The sequence below is a fragment of the Homo sapiens genome, chromosome 16, assembly GCF_000001405.40.
Source record: "Homo sapiens chromosome 16, GRCh38.p14 Primary Assembly".
In the NCBI taxonomy this organism is placed as follows: Eukaryota; Metazoa; Chordata; class Mammalia; order Primates; family Hominidae; genus Homo; species Homo sapiens.
Genome location: NC_000016.10, coordinates 17,336,545 through 17,355,661, shown reverse-complemented (window position 1 = coordinate 17,355,661; position 19,117 = coordinate 17,336,545). Strand labels below are relative to the sequence as shown.

Genomic DNA, 19,117 nt, shown 5'->3' with positions numbered 1-19,117 from the left:
ATATTCATGGAACCACAAGTTTGAAGGGCTAGTTATATATTTTTTTGCACAACATTAAAATAGATATTAAACTGTGAAAATATTGTTCCTGTACGCACCCTCTGATGTCACCTAAACTTCCTATCAGAGATGTGTGTGCTACCCTTTGGGAAACGTGTCTCTACCCAGTCTACCCCAGGGACTATGAGAGAACTTCCACGGTGTGTTTTTAAAATGATGGTCCTTCTTTTCCTTATCCTTCCCCAGAAGGATACCCTATTAAACTTATGAAAACCCATGGGCGAACATCTGTGTCCGGAACTCTGGAAGTCAAATCTTATCTCCTGGGAGTGGAACAGCAGAATCCCTGGATGGTTCTGTCTTTGACCTTCCTGTATCCTTCACTCTGGACACCACCCCATCAGCCCTTCAAAACCCTCATGGGAAAGAGGAGTTGCAGACCAGTGGCTTTGGCCAGCACCTGAGGCTTCCAGCAGCAGCTCCTTACACAGTGGCGACTCTTAAAGTCCAATCTGTTAGCCCAAGGGACCTGAACCTCCATCTGCAACCAGCAATGGCACAAGGTAGACTCTCAGCATTTGTGCTATGCCATTGGGGAAGAGCTTCAATTTGTCTGCAAACGATGCTCCATCAGTCTCATTTGGTTCCCTGTCTTTGGGGAGCCTGGGAATATTGTTCTCGCTCCCCGAGTTCTGATTTCCCATGTTAAAGAGATGTTGGAACCCAACCAAAGTGCAAATGTTTCTTTGTGACTGTTGGCACAAGCCCGTGGCCAGATCTGACTTTGTGCTGGCCTCAGCCCATTGTGAGGTGAATGATGGGATCCTGTTCAGCTGCCTGCAGGCAGGTCAGACAAGGGGGTCAGGTCCCTTTCTGGCAGGAAGTAGTGCCTCAAATGTTACCCATATGCCATGAACAAGATGGCAGATGTGGCCAAGCTTGGAAGAATTAACTCTGCAGAGGTTAGGTGACAGATGTACCCTGAGCCCTGGGTCAGTTCCCGCTTTTCTCCCAGTGCACTTGGCTTCTAAGGACAGCATCGCCTGCTCCATCTTGAGCCCAGCTGTCACAGGTTAGCCTGCCTGTTAGATTTCACTGAGAGCTGTGTCCTTGCACAATGCATCAGCCGCTTTGCTTGTCCAAGACCTGGCCTGCATTAGAACACGGCTGTGCAGGGGCCCTTTCCTTCACGCATCCCTCTCTCCCTCGTGTGAATTGCAACGGTCCTCAGCCATCGCTTGGTTAATCTGTCCCTGTGCAGCTGTTCTGAGTTGGGGGAGATGGATTGATTGGCTGCTGAGGACTCCTCTAATGCTCTTTACCATTAGCACAGCAGAGCTTTGCATCTGTTGGCATCAGCAGGACTCTCTGCTTAACGGCCAGATTAATAGAATGAGGAAGCCGAGGAAGGTTTAAATCCCTGGTGTCAGCTTCCCGGCTCGGCAGGCTGCCCCTGGGGAGGCACCAAGGAAGCCCTGACTTGCAGTGATGAATGCTCCTCTGGTCTCCAGATGGTGACTGCCAGCGAATCAGGTGACCTAGAAATGAAAAAAAAATAAAAAAGGAGTTCAGTGAGTGGCTAGGTGGCATTATTCTTATCCTCATTCTTACTAACATTTACCATTTGCCAAGAACTGACTTCTCTCATTTTATCCTCAAATGCCATGGTTACACAGGTGTTTGTGTGATACCCGATTTCCACATGAGGTACCTAAGGGTCAGAGAGGCTAAGTAACTTGCCCAGGGTCACACAGGAAGCAGATAGTGTTGATGCACATTAGACTCAGGGTTGCATGACATCAGAATCTTATCTTCTCAACTGCTTTCCTATTTTGCAAGAAAATAAAGTTGCCTTGACTAGTAGAAAGATTTGCTAACATTCAGGCAAAGCTGGAGAAATGGGCTTGGTATATGCAATCCAACGTCCATAGATAGACAGACGGACAGATAGACAGTGCCTAGCACAACTATCCACAGATGTACTTAGATATATGGGTAGAGAGATGCATGATGGGTAGATGGATAGAAAGATTCAATGCTTTGCGCAGTGAGTTATCTTTGACAGTTTGTCAGAGGGCTTGGGGGTAAAATGGTTTAAGCAATGGACCCGAATGAAAATTTATTTTAAAAGAACAAAAGCAAAACATGTCCCTGCGCATCAGTAGTGTTTTGATACATTGGAATCCTTATTACTTTATTCTTTCTTTCTCATCGATCCCCAAGACAGTTGATCATTTCTGAATCCACTCCAACTGGCAAGGTCTCTTGCCATTTAATTCTAGTGTCTCTGCCTCCTCCTGCCCTCACTTCCCCCACCCTCAACAGGCTCTCTGTCAATTAGCTAATGGCCTCCACTCAAACACTGAGATACGTTGGGAGATATAATAAAGGAGCTCTTTTGCCGAGTCAAGATTTGTCAATCTGGGTATTTGTGAACTCAGCTAGAGTTAGAGGGAAGCAGGTCTTCGTTTATGCTGAGATCCCCCTCAGGACCTGGAGATCAAAGGCATCAGGAGGAAAACTCCCAACTTCTGGGTTTTCAAAACCAACCAGATACTTGAATTTCTTTGATCAGCTAACTTGGGTTAGAGGGAAGGGAATGACATTCACATGATTTAAAGATGATGCTGGGGCCATGATGATTGTGAACAGGGCTCCTGTAGCAAATGAGTAGTGATATGAATGGAAGTTAATACTTGAGAAATTGTATCTATGTAAAGGGATTCATCTATTTCCTTATTCCGTAAATCACTATTGGGCCATGTGGAGACAAGGCCTTGTGCTAACTGTGAAAGATACAGCAGAGAAAAACAGAAGTTTCCTTGCCTAGAAAGCATCCATTCTAGGAGAGTCAGATGAAAAAGGTACAAATAGATATTAATAAATGCATCCGTAACTTCAGATAGTAATAAGTGGATGGAAATAAGACAAACATGTTTGTAAGAGAGTGACTGGGTAGAGTGGAGGTGGTTGTAAAATCTCCCAGGTAGTGGGGGAATCTGAGCTGGAGAGATGAGGTTTGAGCTTCTGAGCCCAGGAGGTGAGATGTGCTGAGGAGCTTACAGTTAAAAGTTAACCTTGCAAAAAGACCCAATGACAGAGTTCTGAATTTTTTGCGTAGTATGTCTGGGTTCCTATAAAAATAATGCCAGTTATTCTTAGATTCAATTAAGGCATTTGCTCCTTCAGTGCTTTTGTGTCATTATAATGTCAAGATGAATAAAGAATTACTTTATCAGGCAGGGGAGAAAGAAAAGGACTAAGGAGGTAGGAGAGAAGGAGAGAGGCTTAAATTCAGGGCCATCCAGTGAAACTAATGTCTGATGTGAGCATTTGGAAGGCTGGAGGAACTTTAGATCTTAGCAATGTTATGCTGAGCTGGGGGCTGATGTCTGAAATTTGGCTAATAGCTAATTAGCTGACTGATGTTCAGCTGAACTTAAACTTAAGTATAAACCAGTAGTTCTCAACTAGGTCAATTTTGACCGCCAAGGAGACATCTGACAATCACCTGAGACTTTTTCCTTTTCTTTTTGAGAGAGTCTTGCTCTGTCACTCTGTCAACCAGGCTGGAAGTGCAGTGACTCCATCTCGGTTCACTGCAGCTTCAACCTCCTGGGCTCCCACCTCAGCCTCCCAAGTAGTTGGGACTACAGGTGTATGCTAATTTTTGTAATTTTTGTAGAGGTGGGATTTTGCTATGTTGCCCCGACTGGTCTTGAACTTCTGGGCTCAAGCAGTCCGCCCGCCTCAGCCTCGCAAAGTGCTGGAATTGCAGGCATGAGCCACTGTACCTGGCCCAACATTTGTGATTATTATAACTTCGGGGTGAAGGATGCTACTGGCATCTAGTGGGTAGAGATCAGGGATGCTACTAAACATCCCATAATGCACAGGAAAGCACCCCCCCCCAAAAAAAAAGCCTCAAATGTCAGTAGTGGCAAGGTTAGGAAACCCTGGAGTAACTTCGTTTGTTCTGAGGACAGTTTATTTTACAAAGACACTTCCAGCCATACAATTGCAACTTCCTTGTTTGTTCTCTTGTTTATGTTCAAACATCACCCTTTCTGGTTTAAGTTCAGACTTTAACCAGCTGTAGGCTGTGGTTGTGACACATTCATCTTATTTATTTACTTATTTATTTTTTTTGAGACAGAGTCTTGCTCTGTCACCCAGGCTGGAATGCAATGGTGTGATCTTGGCTCACTGCAACCTCTGCCTCCCAGGTTAAAGCAATTCTCCTGCCTCAGTCTCCTGAGTAGCTGGGATTACAGGCATGTGACACCACACCTGGCTAATTTTTGTATTTTTAGTAGAAATGGAGTTTCACCATGTCGGCCAGGCTGTTCTCGAACTCATGACCTCGTGATCCATCCATCTTGGCCTCCAAAAGTGCTGGGATTACAGGCATGAGCCACATGCCTGGCCGACACATTTATCTTCTAATGTGTCCAGACCTGCATTGACATGACTGACTCTGGGTACACAATGACCCATGATACACAGGAACATGTACATCATGTGTTTAAAAACTGAGTTCTGTTGGATCATTATGGGAGAAGAAACCTCATCAGGAGATGGTTTCCTAAGAGATTTATGGCTTACTAGTGCAAAGAATGTGCAGAGTTAAAAAAAAAATTTTTTTTTCTTAATCCAGCTACTTGGCTGGGGTTTGGAGAGGGGTTTGCCAAGGTCTCTGGACTGATGGAGAAGATCTTTCAAATATCTTGATATTTAGGCCTGGTTCTTCTTTCAGGGATAGACCACAGGCTTGTTTGTGCAAACTTCTTTCTTGTGAAGCTCTTCCCCTCTCCTGGGATTAACACAATTGCTGTCTCCTCTCCGTTCTTCCGGCTCTGGGCTTCGATTAACCTTTTCCTCCACAGAGAGCAGTTTTTGGAGTAATCGGGAAGCTTCTGAATGGCTCTTACCTGAGTCTCCAGCCCATTAATTCTTATGGTGCCCAGCATCTGTTGAGAGGATGGTGAGACTAAATTGCTTCTCAGCCCATATGTTTTTTTCCCCCGTCAGCCTCCTTATGGGAGAAGAACCTCTCTGGGGCAGAGAAGGCTAGTTTGGGGAGGGACCAGATTGCTTTACTATAATCTTTTCCTCTGGCTGTGATTTGCTGCCTCTCTAGTTAGCCCTGGTGGGGCAGGGAGGTGACCAGCCAGACCACTGCCTGGGCAGAGACTTGGCTCAATGGACAGGGAGTCTGGACTTGGAGCATGGAGTCATTCTCAGAGAGGATCTGCGATCTCCTGGCCATGGGATCTTCTCTAGTCTGTATGACTCAGGGTGAATGATGTGATACAACATTCCGCAAATAGCCAGCAAGTTCCCCAAAGTGCAGCCACATGCACCATTTCAAAAAATAGATCGTGTTGAGATCACCATTCCCCCCTTCTTGTTGGGAGTGGACTTCACCGAAGACATTGAAAGTTTGAATTTAAGCCCTTAACTCAGAACACTTAAAATGATCACTCTTGGCTGGGCACGGTGGCTCACGCCTGTAATCCCACCACTTTGGGAGGCCGAGGCAGGCGGATCACGAGGTCAGGAGATTGAGACCATTTTGGCTAACACAGTGAAACCCCGTCTCTACTAAAAATACAAAAAAATTAGCCGGGTGTGGTGGTGGGCGCCTGTAGTCCCAGCTATTTGGGAGGCTGAGGTAGGAGAATGACGTGAACCCGGGAGGCGGAGCTTGCAGTGAGCTGAGATTGCACCACTGCACTCCAGCCTGGGCAACAGAGCGAGACTCCGTCTAAAAAAAAAAGATCACTCTTGTCAATAATGATTACATACACTGAATAGATGTTTCATTGAGATGGGAACTGTACATTGGACATGCATTCATAAATTTAGCACTTTTATGTAACATGAATTAAGCATTTATACTGCATGCGAGTCCCTCTTCTAAATTAAGTTCTTTACATGGATTTGCTCATTTGCATTTCACAACTATCTCTTATGGGAAGTATTACTGTCATCCCCGTTTTACAGATGAGAAACTGAGGCGCAAAGAGGTTAAGTTACTTGCCCAACAGGTAGCAAAGGCAGCAAGATTTGAACCTAGCAGTTTAGCTTTCATATATTGGGAAATAACCCTGGGAGTTACTAACCTTAACCCCATTTTACAGAGGAGCCTGCTAAAGCCAGAGAGACCAAGTTTCCTTTTAAAAGTTGTACGGTCAGTAGGTGATAGAATCTAAACTAGAGCCAGGTGACAAATGAAATCTGTCTCCTTCCCTGCTATGTTACAAGATAGGTAGAGATATCAATAAGATATAGAAGGAGATTAGAGATTAGATCTAGACAGATTTGACACAAAGAATTGACATAGAGATTTGATATCTATTTATTGATACAGAGATTTGATATGTATTAGATGTGGATATAGATTAGATCTTGCTTGCTATAGATCACTCACTTGGCAATCCAGAGCACATGGGCTTGGAAACATCTGTCCATACAGAGTGGATTCTAGGATGAGTAGCTGAAGCCCCAGGCTGTGGCACGGTTTGCCCTGCAGACGGTGAGCACAGCAGTGGCACCTTGAGGAGGCCATACTCACATTTCCCTTCCAGCACACGCATCTTCTCTCAGGGCACCCCCACCGCCATTGACTTCAAGCACTGAGGCAGAAGCCCGTGGTGCTGCCACTGAGCAACAAGGCAGTGTGGCTGGTTTTGCATTGACTTACGAGCCGGAGGCTCAGCGAGGAGGCATCACTAACATTTGGCATAAATAGCACACGCACCAAGATCTTTGAAGCTGAAGCGATCTTCTCCATGGGGTTTTGGGGCAGGGCTGTGCATACTGCGGAGCTTAAAAGAGAAGGTTTCGATGCTAGAATGTTCAGGCTGGGTTTGCAGGTTCTAGTTAATGGAATCATTCAATGAAGAAAATTGCTTTCACAAAAGATAGCAGCACGAGGGAGGTCCAGGTGTATGAGGGATGTAAAAATCCGTAGACAAGGCCCAAACTTGGGGAACGTGAGAGCTGGAGGGGTGATTGCATGTTTTCTATGTGCCTGGGATGTTGCTCAACACTTTATATGCGTGACCTCGTTTCCTCATAACAACATCCCTTGGCGAAGGTGCTCTCACACCCTTCCTTTGCAAGTGAAGACACTGAGGCATGGAGAGGCTCAGTCCCTGGTCCAAGACCACAGAGTTTGGGAGTGGCATTGAGAGGGCCCACACTTAGGCCTCCCTCTTCTGCAGTGCTGGCTGTGACTCCCATACCTTAGGGCCTGTTGGGTTCCATCTTTATACTTGACATGGAAGGAAACCAGGACCCAGAGCTGCTGAACAATTTGCCCAGTCGTTCAGCAGCTCAGTAGCAAACCAGGATTCCTCTGCTGCTCAGGGATAGTGGGAGGTGGAGGCTCAGCGTGGAAGATCCACAGCCCCGCACGCCCTCTTTGTGCCTCCTCCTGCTGTCTCCATGTTGGGTGTTAGCAAGATGAAACATGTTGGGTGTCTTCTTCCCCCGCAAGCCCCAGCCCCAGATCCACTCTCCACCCCTCTCCTTTCTTCTCTGGGCCTCCAGAGGCTAACCTTGATGGGTTTCATCAGCAAGGACTTTTCTTTGCTTTGGCCAAGTAGAGGAACTGGTAGGAGATAGGAAGGTGGGAAGAGATGAGATGAGGGTTTCCATGGGTTGGCTGTGTCTGTACCCCTAGCAAGGCCACAGCTGCTGTGGGGCTGCCCTCTCCCGTGGCTGCAGCTACTGTCTCCGTGGTCCAGGAACACCACTCCCTCCCCTTCAGGCCCCAGGGTGGTGACAGCTCCTGGCTGTGGCCAGCCCTGGTGCATAGCACCTCCCTTGTTAGTTTTCCTTATAAAGAATCTCTTTGTACAGTCTCTTCAGTTTGGAGAGTAACATCTCTTTCCTTCAGGGACCCTGACCGGGCCCCCGCCTCGCTGGCTCAGCACTGCCAATGGGACTTGCCATGGGGAGTCACTGTCATCTTGTGTCATGTTTTGATTAAAGGAGAGGGTCTTCCAGTGGAGGAGAGGTCCCAGAATGGAGACCATGGGACAGTGAAGCTCTTGAAACTGAATGCCCAACGGTGGATTGTACGAGCTCTTTTTTTAGAGAGAAGATCATAGCTGTCATTCTATTTGTGAAAACTGTCCCCCAAAACTGAGCCAAAAATAAACATTCTAAACAGTCTCATGCTAAATAAAGCACCAGAGAAGCCACATGTGTGAGAAGAGATGCCCCAGGCAGGGTCAGCTTGGAGTATTCTCATTCATTCATACTCCTCTGTCTGTCCCAAGTTGGTAAAGGCATTCTTCAGTGGGGAGGGACTAAGGCCTAGGGCATGGTGGGGTGGGGAGAGGCGGGGGACAGGCCTTCAGCTCCTTCCGGTAGCCCCCAGAGCAGACAGACAGACAGAGAAGACAGGTTATTTCTGCCTGCAAGCAAGGCCTTCACAAAATCACTTTTTCTTGGTTCTCGGTCACACCTCCAGGAAATGTTAACTGTCCTAGTATTTGAATCTAATTTCTTAGAAATGCCGCCACCTCTGGTTTGTACCTCTGAGAGCCAACAGGGAGGGCCAGCGCGTAGCTGCTTCTCCAGACCAGGTGGTCCTGCAGGAGGGAGTAGCAGTGGGGCTACCCCGGCTCCCCCCTCAATGTGATCTTCCCCGCTGCCTTCAACTGCCTTTCTGAAAAAGAGTATCTTATTAATAATAACCCCGTTCTCATTTTCTTCTGGGAACTGTAGCTCATTTTTTCCACTGAACAAAAGAGAACTGGGTGGAAAGCTGAAGTTAGCTGTGGTGCAGGTGCCAGATGGGTGGGGTCGAGGACAGAAATGCAGTTTTATTGTCCTGAGAAGGAAAAACCCAGCCAGCTCAATGCTAGAAGAAGGAACTTCCAGCTATAAAACGGGCTCAAAGAGAGTTCTTGGTCAGATGACCAGTCTCCACGTTCACTGGCCCAGTTAGAATCAGGCACCAGTTATGGGAGCAGGAGGTGACTTTCTCATTTCATGGCCCTGGACTCAAAGTTGTGCCATGGGCCTCCTCGTGGCCATCTCTGACCTGCACATGGGTTGCCTTTGGCCTCAGGAAGATTTTTAAATTTTTTAAATTTTTAGAGAGGGGAAGAGTGGGGTTGGAAGATTTTTGAAAAACTGATAGGTAAAACCACTCTGAGCTGCTGGATGTCCATGACTGGTGACCACCAGCTGCCCCTTTGCATGGGGCCTCGGGATGGGGTCACTGGTTCATAGAAGTCCCCACCTGGCCTGCTGCGTTCATTCACCTCAGTGACAGTCCCCTGGGTATTGTTTGTCCTGTCCCCTGCACACTCAGGACTCTGGATCCTCCTAGGGTCTCACCTGCAAAGTGGACAAGGGCAGTCTGGACCTGGTAACCCCAAGCAGCCCCTTGGGGAGGTGAGAACGGGCCTCGTGGGGGCAGGTCATGGTCTATGCAGCAGACCCCCTGGCTCACCACTTAGCTGCTGTGAGACCTTCCACACGCCAGCGATCCCTTTGTGCCTCAGTTTCTTTAAAAAATGGTCAGAGTAGGCCGGGCTCGGTGGCTCACGCCTGTAATCCCAGCACTTTGGGAGGCCAAGGCAGGTGGATCACCTGGGGTCAGGTGTTCAAGACCAGCCTGACCAACATGGCGAGACCCCGTCTTTACTAAAAATACAAAAATTAGCCACGTGTGGTGGCACACGCCTATAATCCCAGCTACTCGGGAGGCTGAGGCAGGAGAATCACTTGAACCCAGGAAATGGAGGTTGCAGTGAGCCGAGATCAAGCCACTGTACTCCACCATGGGTGACAGAGCGAGACTCTCTCTCAAAAATAATAATAATAAATAAAAACGGTTGAAGTAACAGCAGTAGCCACCTCCTAGACTTGTTGGGATGATCAGATGGGTTAACGTGCATTAAGCAACAGAACAGTGCCTGGCACCTAAGCACTTAGTATTACTTTCATAGTCCTACGTTTGAATCCCAACTCTTTCACTTGCTCAGTGCATCACCTTTGAGAAAGGCTTTTAGCTTCTGAGCTTCAGCTTCCCAACTAGTTAAAGCAGCCATGAGGACTGCTAAGAGGATAAGCTGGAGACACCCTCTTGTCACTTGTGAATGCAAGCTGCGTCACCCCCTGCCTTTTCTCTCTTGTGGAAGTAGCAGGCTTGGGGAGCAGAGGCTCTCCAGCCTCCGTGCCTCCATGCACTGCCTCCTGCATCCCTGTGCCACAGAGAGGGCAAAGACTTTGGCATTCTCTGCAGGGATTTGCTTTGTGCCTTCTCTGGAATGTTCCTCCTCCTCTGTTTAGGTAGCTGGTTTCCTCTTTACAGAGAGGGAAGCAGCACGAGTTGAAATACCAGGATGTTTTTGGCAGCCAAACTAGGTGCTTGTCTCAAGAGCAAGCTGGGACATTTTTTGCCTGCGTGCAGTTCAGAGATGAACTGTGTCGTCACCACATGAGTGAAGCCCAGAACTGCCTGGATGACGAGTGGTCAGAGTAGCAGAGGCTGAGACATCTTCTAAGGAAATAAAAACGGGCCAACAGCTGGCCCCTTGGGTCTCACCTCTGCCACCCACAGGCTGAGGAAGCTCCTTTTCTGGCCTGGGGTATGTTCAGACATGGCCAGGTAGTGGACTTGCCTGTGTTAGGCCGGGCGCAGTGGCTCACGCCTATGTATAATCCTAGAACTTTGGGAGGCTGAGGCAGGCAGATCACTTGAGGCCAGGAGTTTGAGACCAGCCTGGCCAACATGGTGAAACACCGTCTCTACTAAAAATATAAAAATTAGCCAAGCGTGGTGGCGCATGCTTGTAGTCCCAGCTACTCGGGAGGCTGAGGCAGGAGAATCACTTGAATCCGGAAGGCAGAGGTTGCAGTGAGCCAAGATCACCACACTGCACTCCAGCTTGGGTGACAGAGACCTGTCTCAAAAAAAAAAAAAGAATCCTTAGACAGTTGGCTGCGAAGACACATCTCAAAAGCCCCAAGGTGTACCAGATCTTATCAACCCCATTCTTTTGCCTCCAGCCTCACTACAGTGCTTAAGGGACTCCCTTCCCCAGGGCAACCTTGTTTACCCTGTGGACTGACTAACCTGGGGTCACTTGATCTGGGCACTACTGACATTTGGGACAGGATTATTCTTTTTTTTTTTTTTTTGAGATGGAGTCTCCTTCTGTCACCCAGGATGGAGTGCAATGGCGTGATCTCGGCTCACTGCAAGCTCCACCTCCCGGGTTCGTGCCATTCTCCTGCCTCAGCCTCCTGAGTAGCTGGGACTACAGGCGCCCGCCACCACGCCCGGCTAATTTTTTTTTTTTTTTTGTATTTTTTAGTAGAGACGGGGTTTCACCGTGTTAGCCAGGATGGTCTCAATCTCCTGACCTCGTGATCCGCCCGCCTTGGCCTCCCAAAGTGCTGGGATTACAGGCACCCGGCCTGGGACAGGATTATTCTTTGTTGTGAGGCTGTTCTCTGCATTGTAGAATGTTTAGCAGCATCTCTGGCATGTACACACTAGATTTTAATGACACTCCCTCCTCCAGTTGTCTCACAAATGTCTCTGGACATTGCCGAATATCTCTGGGGAGCAAAAGCACCCCTGAGCTGAAAACCACGGTCCTAACCAAGTATGGGTAGCAGAGAATGTGTAAAAATCAACACCCGTTGACTGTAATGAGACGGAGCTGGTGACGTTTAGGTGAAGTCTGCTGGTTGAACGCCTCCCTGTAAATGTCATTGGGCTTTAATTTTTTGCTTCCAAGTGACCTCATGTGACCTGGAGTTACAAACAAGATAGCATGTGCCAAGTGTTTCACTGTGGGTGTGATGAGGTACGGAAGAACGCTCTCTTGATTCCTCTTCTCATTTAAAAAGCCAAGCACACTGGGTATGGTGGCTCATGCCTGTAATGCCAACACTTTGGGAAGCCAAGGTGGAAGGATTGCCTGAGGCCAGGAGTTTGAGACTAGCCCGAACAATATAACAAGACCATCTCTACAAAAAAATAAAACATAATCTGCGTGTAGTGGCCCGTGCTTTTAGTCCCAGCTACTCGGGAGGCTGAGGTGGGAGGATCACTTGAGGCCAGGAGATGGAGGTTGCAGTGAGCTGTGATTGCGCTACTGCACTCCAGCCTGGGTGATAGAGCGAGATCCTGTCTCAAATTATTCTTTTTTTTCATTTTAAAACTAAAACGCCAGCACAACCTTGAGGCACAAAAGGATGTAGGGCCTCCAGCTCACATCTGGGGGATGGAGACCCCAAGCCCACCTATGCCTGAGTCGCTGTTGATGCAGCAGGCACTGGGTGCCGTGAAGCAAGAGGAGTTCGTGGCACAATCCCGGAGGCCTGTCCCCTGAAAGACCGCAGGGAGACGGTTTTCAGATCTGCAGTAGTTTGGCTGTCACAGGAGATTGTGGGTTTGCCTGACACCCGAAAATAGTCTGTGGCTTCAGGGGCTGACGTTGTAACATGTTCAACCCTTGCTGGCATTTACTCCCTGGACTCTGTGAAAGGGTCCTGTGTGCAGAGCAGCTGCCTGAGACAACCAGGCTGCTGTGTGCCATGTTGGCCGTGAGGTGTTTACGTGTTACTTTCTTGTTGGGTGTTCCACCCTGTTCTCTGCGGGCAGCTGTGACTGGAAACATGTTTTTTCAAAATTTATGTTTTGTTTTTATAAACATTTTTCTTTAGGGACTCGAAGTTTTTTTCTGGATTTGCTTTTCATCATCGCAATTATCAATAGCATATCATATTATCATGTGATAATATTGATCAGTGTATTCAATAAATATGTGTTGAGTGCCTACTACGTTCTGGATACTGTTTTAGGAGCTGGAGATACAACAGCCAACATGACAGAAATTCTTACTCTTCTGAGCACACATTCTATACAGGTAGTAAATGAGAAACGCATGTGTTTTTTTTTGAGACAGGGTCTCTCTCTGTTGCCCAGGCTGGAGTGCAATGGTGCGATCTCGGCTCACTGCAACCTCCGTCTCCCGGGTTCCAGCGATTCTCCTGCCTCAGCCTCCTGGGTAGCTGGGATTACAGGCACGCGCCACCTCGCCCAACTAATTTTTGTACTTTTAGTAGAGATGGGGTTTCACCATGTTGGCCCGGCTGGTCTCGAACTCCCAACCTCATGGGATCTGCCTGTCTCGGCCTCCCAAAGTGCTGGGATTACAGGCATGAGCCGCCACGCCCAACCGAGAAATGCATGTTGATATGTCATGTCAGATGGCGATGAGAGCATGGGAGAGCAAAGCAGGGGAGGACTGTGGGCTAGGTAAGGCCAGTTGGAGATAGGTTGCCCTTTTCCTTTGGTGGAGACAATTCCATGCAGCAGTGTTTGAGCAAAGATCTCAAAAGCATGAGTGGTGGAGCTCTGCAGAAAGAGGAAGGAACAGGAGCAGCCAGGGCAAAGGCCCTGAGATAGAATGTGGTTGGTGTGTTGGTTGCCAGCAGAGCCTGGTGTGGCTAGAACAGCATGAGTAAGGGAGAGAGGGGCGGTGGAGGTGAAGCTAGATCATTAGAACCTTGGGAAACTTAGAAGGGTCCTTGCTTCACTCCACACTGGGAAGTCTTCAGAGGATTTTAAACAGAGGAATGACATGGCCTTGCCTTGGAAAATGGGATTGGTGGCTGCCCTGCTGAAAATGTACTGTAATGGGTCAAGGGCAAGAACAGGGAGATGGGTGAGGGGGAAGGATGTTGTAATCTGTTAGGGGACATGCAGGGGTGGTTTGGACCAGAGTGTTAATAGTGAAAGCCAAAAGAAGTAGTTTATACCTACTCCGTGTACACAAAAATTAAAAATGAAATAGTTTGATGCTGGATGTGTTCTGAAAGGAGATAGAGCATACGGGACCTACAGAGGATTAATGCAATACAAGCACATGATGAAAACAATTAAATGATTCAAAAGCACATCACTTCCTATACCTATTCTTCAGAGATAACTGCTGTTAATTTTTTTTTTGCTACTACTTCCAGATTTTTCCTTTGCATTTTAACTTGTATTATGTCGGTGCACAAGTTATTGAAGTTTTTGCCATTTAAAAGTAATGGCAAGAACTGCAATTACTTTGTGCACCAATTTAATATGTGTACATGAGTGTATTCATGTGCATATTGGCAGGAACCTGTTTCCTTGAAATGGAACATCATATTTTATGACATGTATTTTCTGAAACATATTTTATGGTAACTTGCTTTTCCTCTCTATCTTATCACTCATCTCCTGTCAGCACATATCATTCTTCGTCGTTATTTTTAACTTTTCTATTTTGTCCAGTTCTGTTTTCAGCACCTGTCACAGTCTCTGGGATGTAGTAGCTGTTCAATAAAGATTAATTAAATGCACTAAATATTTCATCATCTATTTCACTGATTTCCTGTTGGTAGACATTTAGATTGGTTTTTTTCCCCCTATTTTAAACTATGCTGCCTTTAGCCATTCTTGTAAATACACCTTTGCTCGATTGGGTATGTACCTCTGTAGGGTAAGTGACTAGATTTAACATCACTGGCTCAAAGGGTGTGTGCATTTTAAATTTTATATTGTCCTATGAGGAGGTTTCTTCACATCTCCGGTCAAAGCCTTACGTGGTTTCCTGTTTCCTCTTTCAAAGGCACTGGTGATTGTCCATCTTTATAATCTTCGACAAACCAATGAGTAAAAACAGTATCTTGCTGCCTTGATTTGAATTTTAGATATGAGTGGATCTAAGCATTTTTTTACATGGGGTATTTGTGAATTCCATAGCTCCATTTTTCAGGATTCTGGGTCCTAATGTTCTGATTGTCTGCCTCCTTGGAGGAAATGATGGATAATGATGGCTAAAAATTGTTGAGCATTTACTATGTGCCAGCCCCTGTGCTAAGTGCAGTGCATGGATTAACTCAGTCTTCCCATAAGGAAGATTCTCTTTAATCTCCCCATAAACCTGTGTAAGTGAGGTATGGTTGTTATGCCCTCTTTCAAATAGCAAAACTGAGGCACAGAGAGGAAAGGGTTAACTGAGTCACCCAAGGTCATATAGAGAGTGAGTGGGGAGCTGGTCTTTGGACCTACGCAGAACTCTTAACTACCATTCTGTGCAGTTTGTGTAATTGGTAATGGTGGCGATTGTTCTTTAAGATTTAACCATTCTGTGATACCTCGAAAGCAGAAAACCAAAATGTTCCTGGGTAAGGAAATGATCTGAACACAGGCATGGCGCTCTGCCTGAGCTTGGGGCCCCAGCCCATGTGGTGGCAGCTGGAGACAGAGCTCTGTGTTCAGCCTGTGAAAGACAGCTGAGCTGCAGGCACATTCTGTGACATGCCCACGGCCATACAAGGAAATAGTATCACCTCTTTCCACAGTGAGTCACTTTTCCTTCTTAGGGAGTCTCCAGTTGAGCTGCAGAACTGGATCTGGGAAACCAACTGCAGAGGTGTCAACTGTTAGAACTGTAGATTGAATCAGATGGATGGATATATGTTGGATGGAGGGATGGGCGGATGGATAGAGGGATGAGTGGATACAGGATGGGTGGGTGGATGGGTGGGCAGATGGATAGAGAGGTGAGTGGGTAGATAAATGAGTGGATAATAGATGGGTGGACGAATGGGTGGATGGATAGAGGGATGGGTGGATGGATAGAGGGATGGGTGGACAAGGGGTGATGGATGCATCATGGATGGATGTATGATGGAGGGATAGATGATGGATGGAGGATGGATGAATGGATGGATGGATAGGTGATGGATGGATGATGATGGATACACAGATGGAAGGGAGAAAAGACGGAAGGAGGGAAGGAAGGAAGAAGGAAGGAGGGAAAAAAGGATAGATAGATAAAATATCTCAGTTCATTTTTTAAAAATTCCTATTGTATACTAACCACTGCTTTAGGTGCTGGGGATTGGAAGATGAAGGACCTGGTGCCCTGCCACCAGTGAGCTCACTGTCTACAGCAGGATAGTGTCACCTTCTCTGTGTTGTAAATCCCTTCGGAATCTGGTCAAAATTATGCTCCCCTTCTCTGAATATTTTCAAATGCAAAAAAATGCAGAGGATTAAAAAGGAAAGTGGTTATATTGAAGTACAGCCGTCAAAGTATATATAAAAATCAGAAAACTGTGGAGTAATAATACATTTGCTTCTTTATTAACACATTAAAGTAGATTTGGCATCAGGTCTAATAACTACCCTAATTTTGAAGTAATGACAAGTATAAACAATATTTGGAGACATCTGCCACCAAAGCAATGTGACATGAAAATATCTGCAATTTCTGTTGGTGTCAAAGTCTCGGGTGTTGCTAATACTACTGCAGTCTGTTGCCTATATTCATAATTGAAGGTCATGCTAAATTTCAGTTAGAGTTAGTGAAAATAATTATGAATATGTACAAGTTCATCAGCGGGTATGTACAAGTTCGAAGACCCCCAGAATTCTCTCTCCATAGATCCCCAAACTCACAGATTCCAGAAAAATGACTCTGGGCTAGATGGAGAGAGAAATCATAGCAAGATGTTCATCACAGGGTATATACTCACAGAGTCAAGTGGTGCACAGGATTCCACATTATTTAAATGATTTGTGTCACCATCTATCTCTCTCTTTTTTCCCTCCTGACTGTTTATAGTTGAATTTTTGTAAGATAGATTTCTGATGTTTCTCCCTTGCGGAGTGTTATCAGTTCTGTGATCATGTAGGAGTGGGCAGTATAACCTAGAACACTCCTGGAAGGCTTCCTGGAGGAGCTGTTGCCCACAGCATGACCTTAACGGGTGAATGATAATCCCAGCACTTTGGGAGGCCGAAGTGGGTGGATCACCTGAAGTCAGGAGTTTAAGACCAGCCTGACCAATATGGTGAAAGCCCGTCTCTACTAAAAATGCAAAAATTAGTTAGTTGTGGTGGTGGGCACCTGTAGTCCCAGCTACTTTGGAAGCTGAGACGGGAGCATTGCTTGAACTAACTGCACTCCAGCCTGGGCAACAGAGCGAGACTCCGTCCCAAAAAAAAGGGTGAATGTGAGCAGGCCACGAATGACCAGGATAAGGGGACACGAAAGACCATTCCCGACAGAGAACAGAGATGAAAATATTGAGCCTTGTCAGAAAATCACAAGAAATACAATATTCATGGAGCACAAGGCTCCTCTTCCTTTATAAAGTCTTTCCAGCCAGCCCGGCAAAGCGTAGGTTTCAACTTCTCCTTTGTTGCAGCCTTTTCCAAAGTGTCAGATGTAAAAGAGAGGAGCAGGCCTTGGCAGGGGATGGGACTGATAAGGCAGGCACAGGCCCAGGTACTGTAGACCACATCAGGGAGCTTCAGATGTATCGTGTAGGTAATGGGGAGCCACTGAAGATGTTTGAGGAGCAGAAGAGCATGGTCCAAGATCAGTTTGAGATGATCACTCTGGCTGCTTCGTGGGGAATGGATTGCAGAAGTGAGCCTAGAGGCAAGGAATCAGAAAAGGGGACATTCAGTTCAGGGGAGTTATGATAAAGGCCTGAACTGGGACAGGGAAAGTGGGAAAGGAAAGGAGGGGACAGATTTGAGGGCCATTAAAATGTAGAACGGGGGCCGGGTGCGGTGGCTCACGCCTATAATCCCAGCACTTTGGGAGGCCGAGGTGGGTGAGGTCAGGAGTTCAAGACCAGCCTGGCCAACATGGCGAAACCCCGTTTCTACTAAAAATACAAAAATTAGCCGGACGTGGTGGCGCATGCCTGTAATCACAGCTACTCGGGAGGCTGAGAAGAATCACTTGAACCCTGGAGACAGAAGCTGGAGTGAGCCGAGATGGCGTCACTGCGCTCCAGCCTGGGTGACAGAGCAAGACTCTGTCTCACAAAAAAAAAAAAAAAGAAAAAGAAAAAATGTGGAACAGACAAAGTAGGACTCAGGAAAAAATAAGATCGGGAATGTGTGAATAGGGCAAGTTTGGAGAGAAGAAGGAATTCTCGGAGACAAGGGTTTGTGGTCCCACAACCTCTTGTGATGTTTTTAAGGAGCAGGTGGCTAGGGAGAGATCTAAGGAACCTCCCACACCATTTTCCCAGGTAACCAAGGTAGGCTTCCCTGGATTTAGCAACGTGAAGTCCTGCACCCAAGGAGCTTGGGCTGAATTGCAATGCTGCAAGTTCAATTAAAGGTTCTCAGGAGGCCGGGCATGGTGGCTCACGCCTGTAATCCTAGCACTTTGGGAGGCTGAGGCTGGCCAATCGCTTGAGCCCTAGAGTTTGAGACCAGCCTGGGCAATGCAGTGAGACCCCCTCTCATCTCTATAAAAAATTAGCTGGGTGTGGTGGCATGTGCTTATAGTTCCAGCTACCTGGGAGGCTGAAGTGGGAGGCTGGCTTGAACCCAGGAGGTGGAGGCTACAATGAGCCATGACTGCACCACTGCACTTTAGCCTGGGTGACAGAGTAAGACCCTGTCTCAAAGAAAAAAGATTCTCAGGAAGTCAGTGTTACCACCTTTGCAGACCACTGTCTCCCTGCACTGAACAAAGGCAAAAAATTGTGAGAATTTAACCACTTAAAAAAACCCAAAAAACCCACCCTGTACTTTGTAGGGATTTATATGCCTTTCTGGGGCTGAATAATATTTTTTTGTTCAGAGCCACAGTTGGGGTTACATACGATCTTACAAAATGCTATGATAGTGTCCACCAAATATTGTGTTGCAGAATATATGCCTTTCTTTTCCAAGGGCTTTTAAAAAAATGGTCACTGGCTTGTGCAGGCCAGGGAGCCCTACTGCACTTCATCTGAGAAAGCGGGTGAGCATTTTTTCTAGGACTGCTTGACACGATCAGGGTTTCTGGCCCCTGAAGAGGCAGCCACTGGCAGGGAGCAAGGCCAGTCGGACACACATACGAAAGTCCCTGTGTTTGGGGATGTCAGCTCGGCTGGGGTAGAAGCCATGGTGGCCCTTCCCTGTGGGATTCGGACGGGCTGGACTTGCCCCAACCAGTGTAGAAGTTGACTTTCTGCAAGGTATGTGTGTCTCTTTGATGGCCTGGGGTGAGCCTAGGAGGAGGAGGTTTTCTCTCTCACACACATGCATGCACACCCACACCTGCATCTGTACACGCATCCA

At 47.0% G+C, this 19,117-nt stretch overlaps 1 protein-coding gene across 3 annotated transcripts in view, besides 2 other annotated features; it reads left to right on the top strand.

Moving 5' to 3' along the window:
- Nucleotides 1-19,117, top strand: part of XYLT1 (xylosyltransferase 1) — a 369,192-nt gene that overhangs the window by 115,299 nt on the left and 234,776 nt on the right. The gene's annotated exons all lie outside the window — the stretch shown is intronic.
- Nucleotides 7,993-8,082: an enhancer, noted in NCBI's record as "active region_10506". NCBI's record gives its function as "activates an Ori minimal core promoter by ATAC-STARR-seq in GM12878 lymphoblastoid cells {active_cell/tissue: GM12878}" and the evidence as "EXISTENCE:reporter gene assay evidence [ECO:0000049][PMID:35858748]".
- Nucleotides 9,551-10,052: an enhancer, noted in NCBI's record as "H3K27ac hESC enhancer chr16:17439467-17439968 (GRCh37/hg19 assembly coordinates)". NCBI's record gives its function as "activates a minimal SCP1, AML or CMV promoter by ChIP-STARR-seq in naive H9 embryonic stem cells {active_cell/tissue: H9 hESC(naive)}" and the evidence as "EXISTENCE:reporter gene assay evidence [ECO:0000049][PMID:30033119]".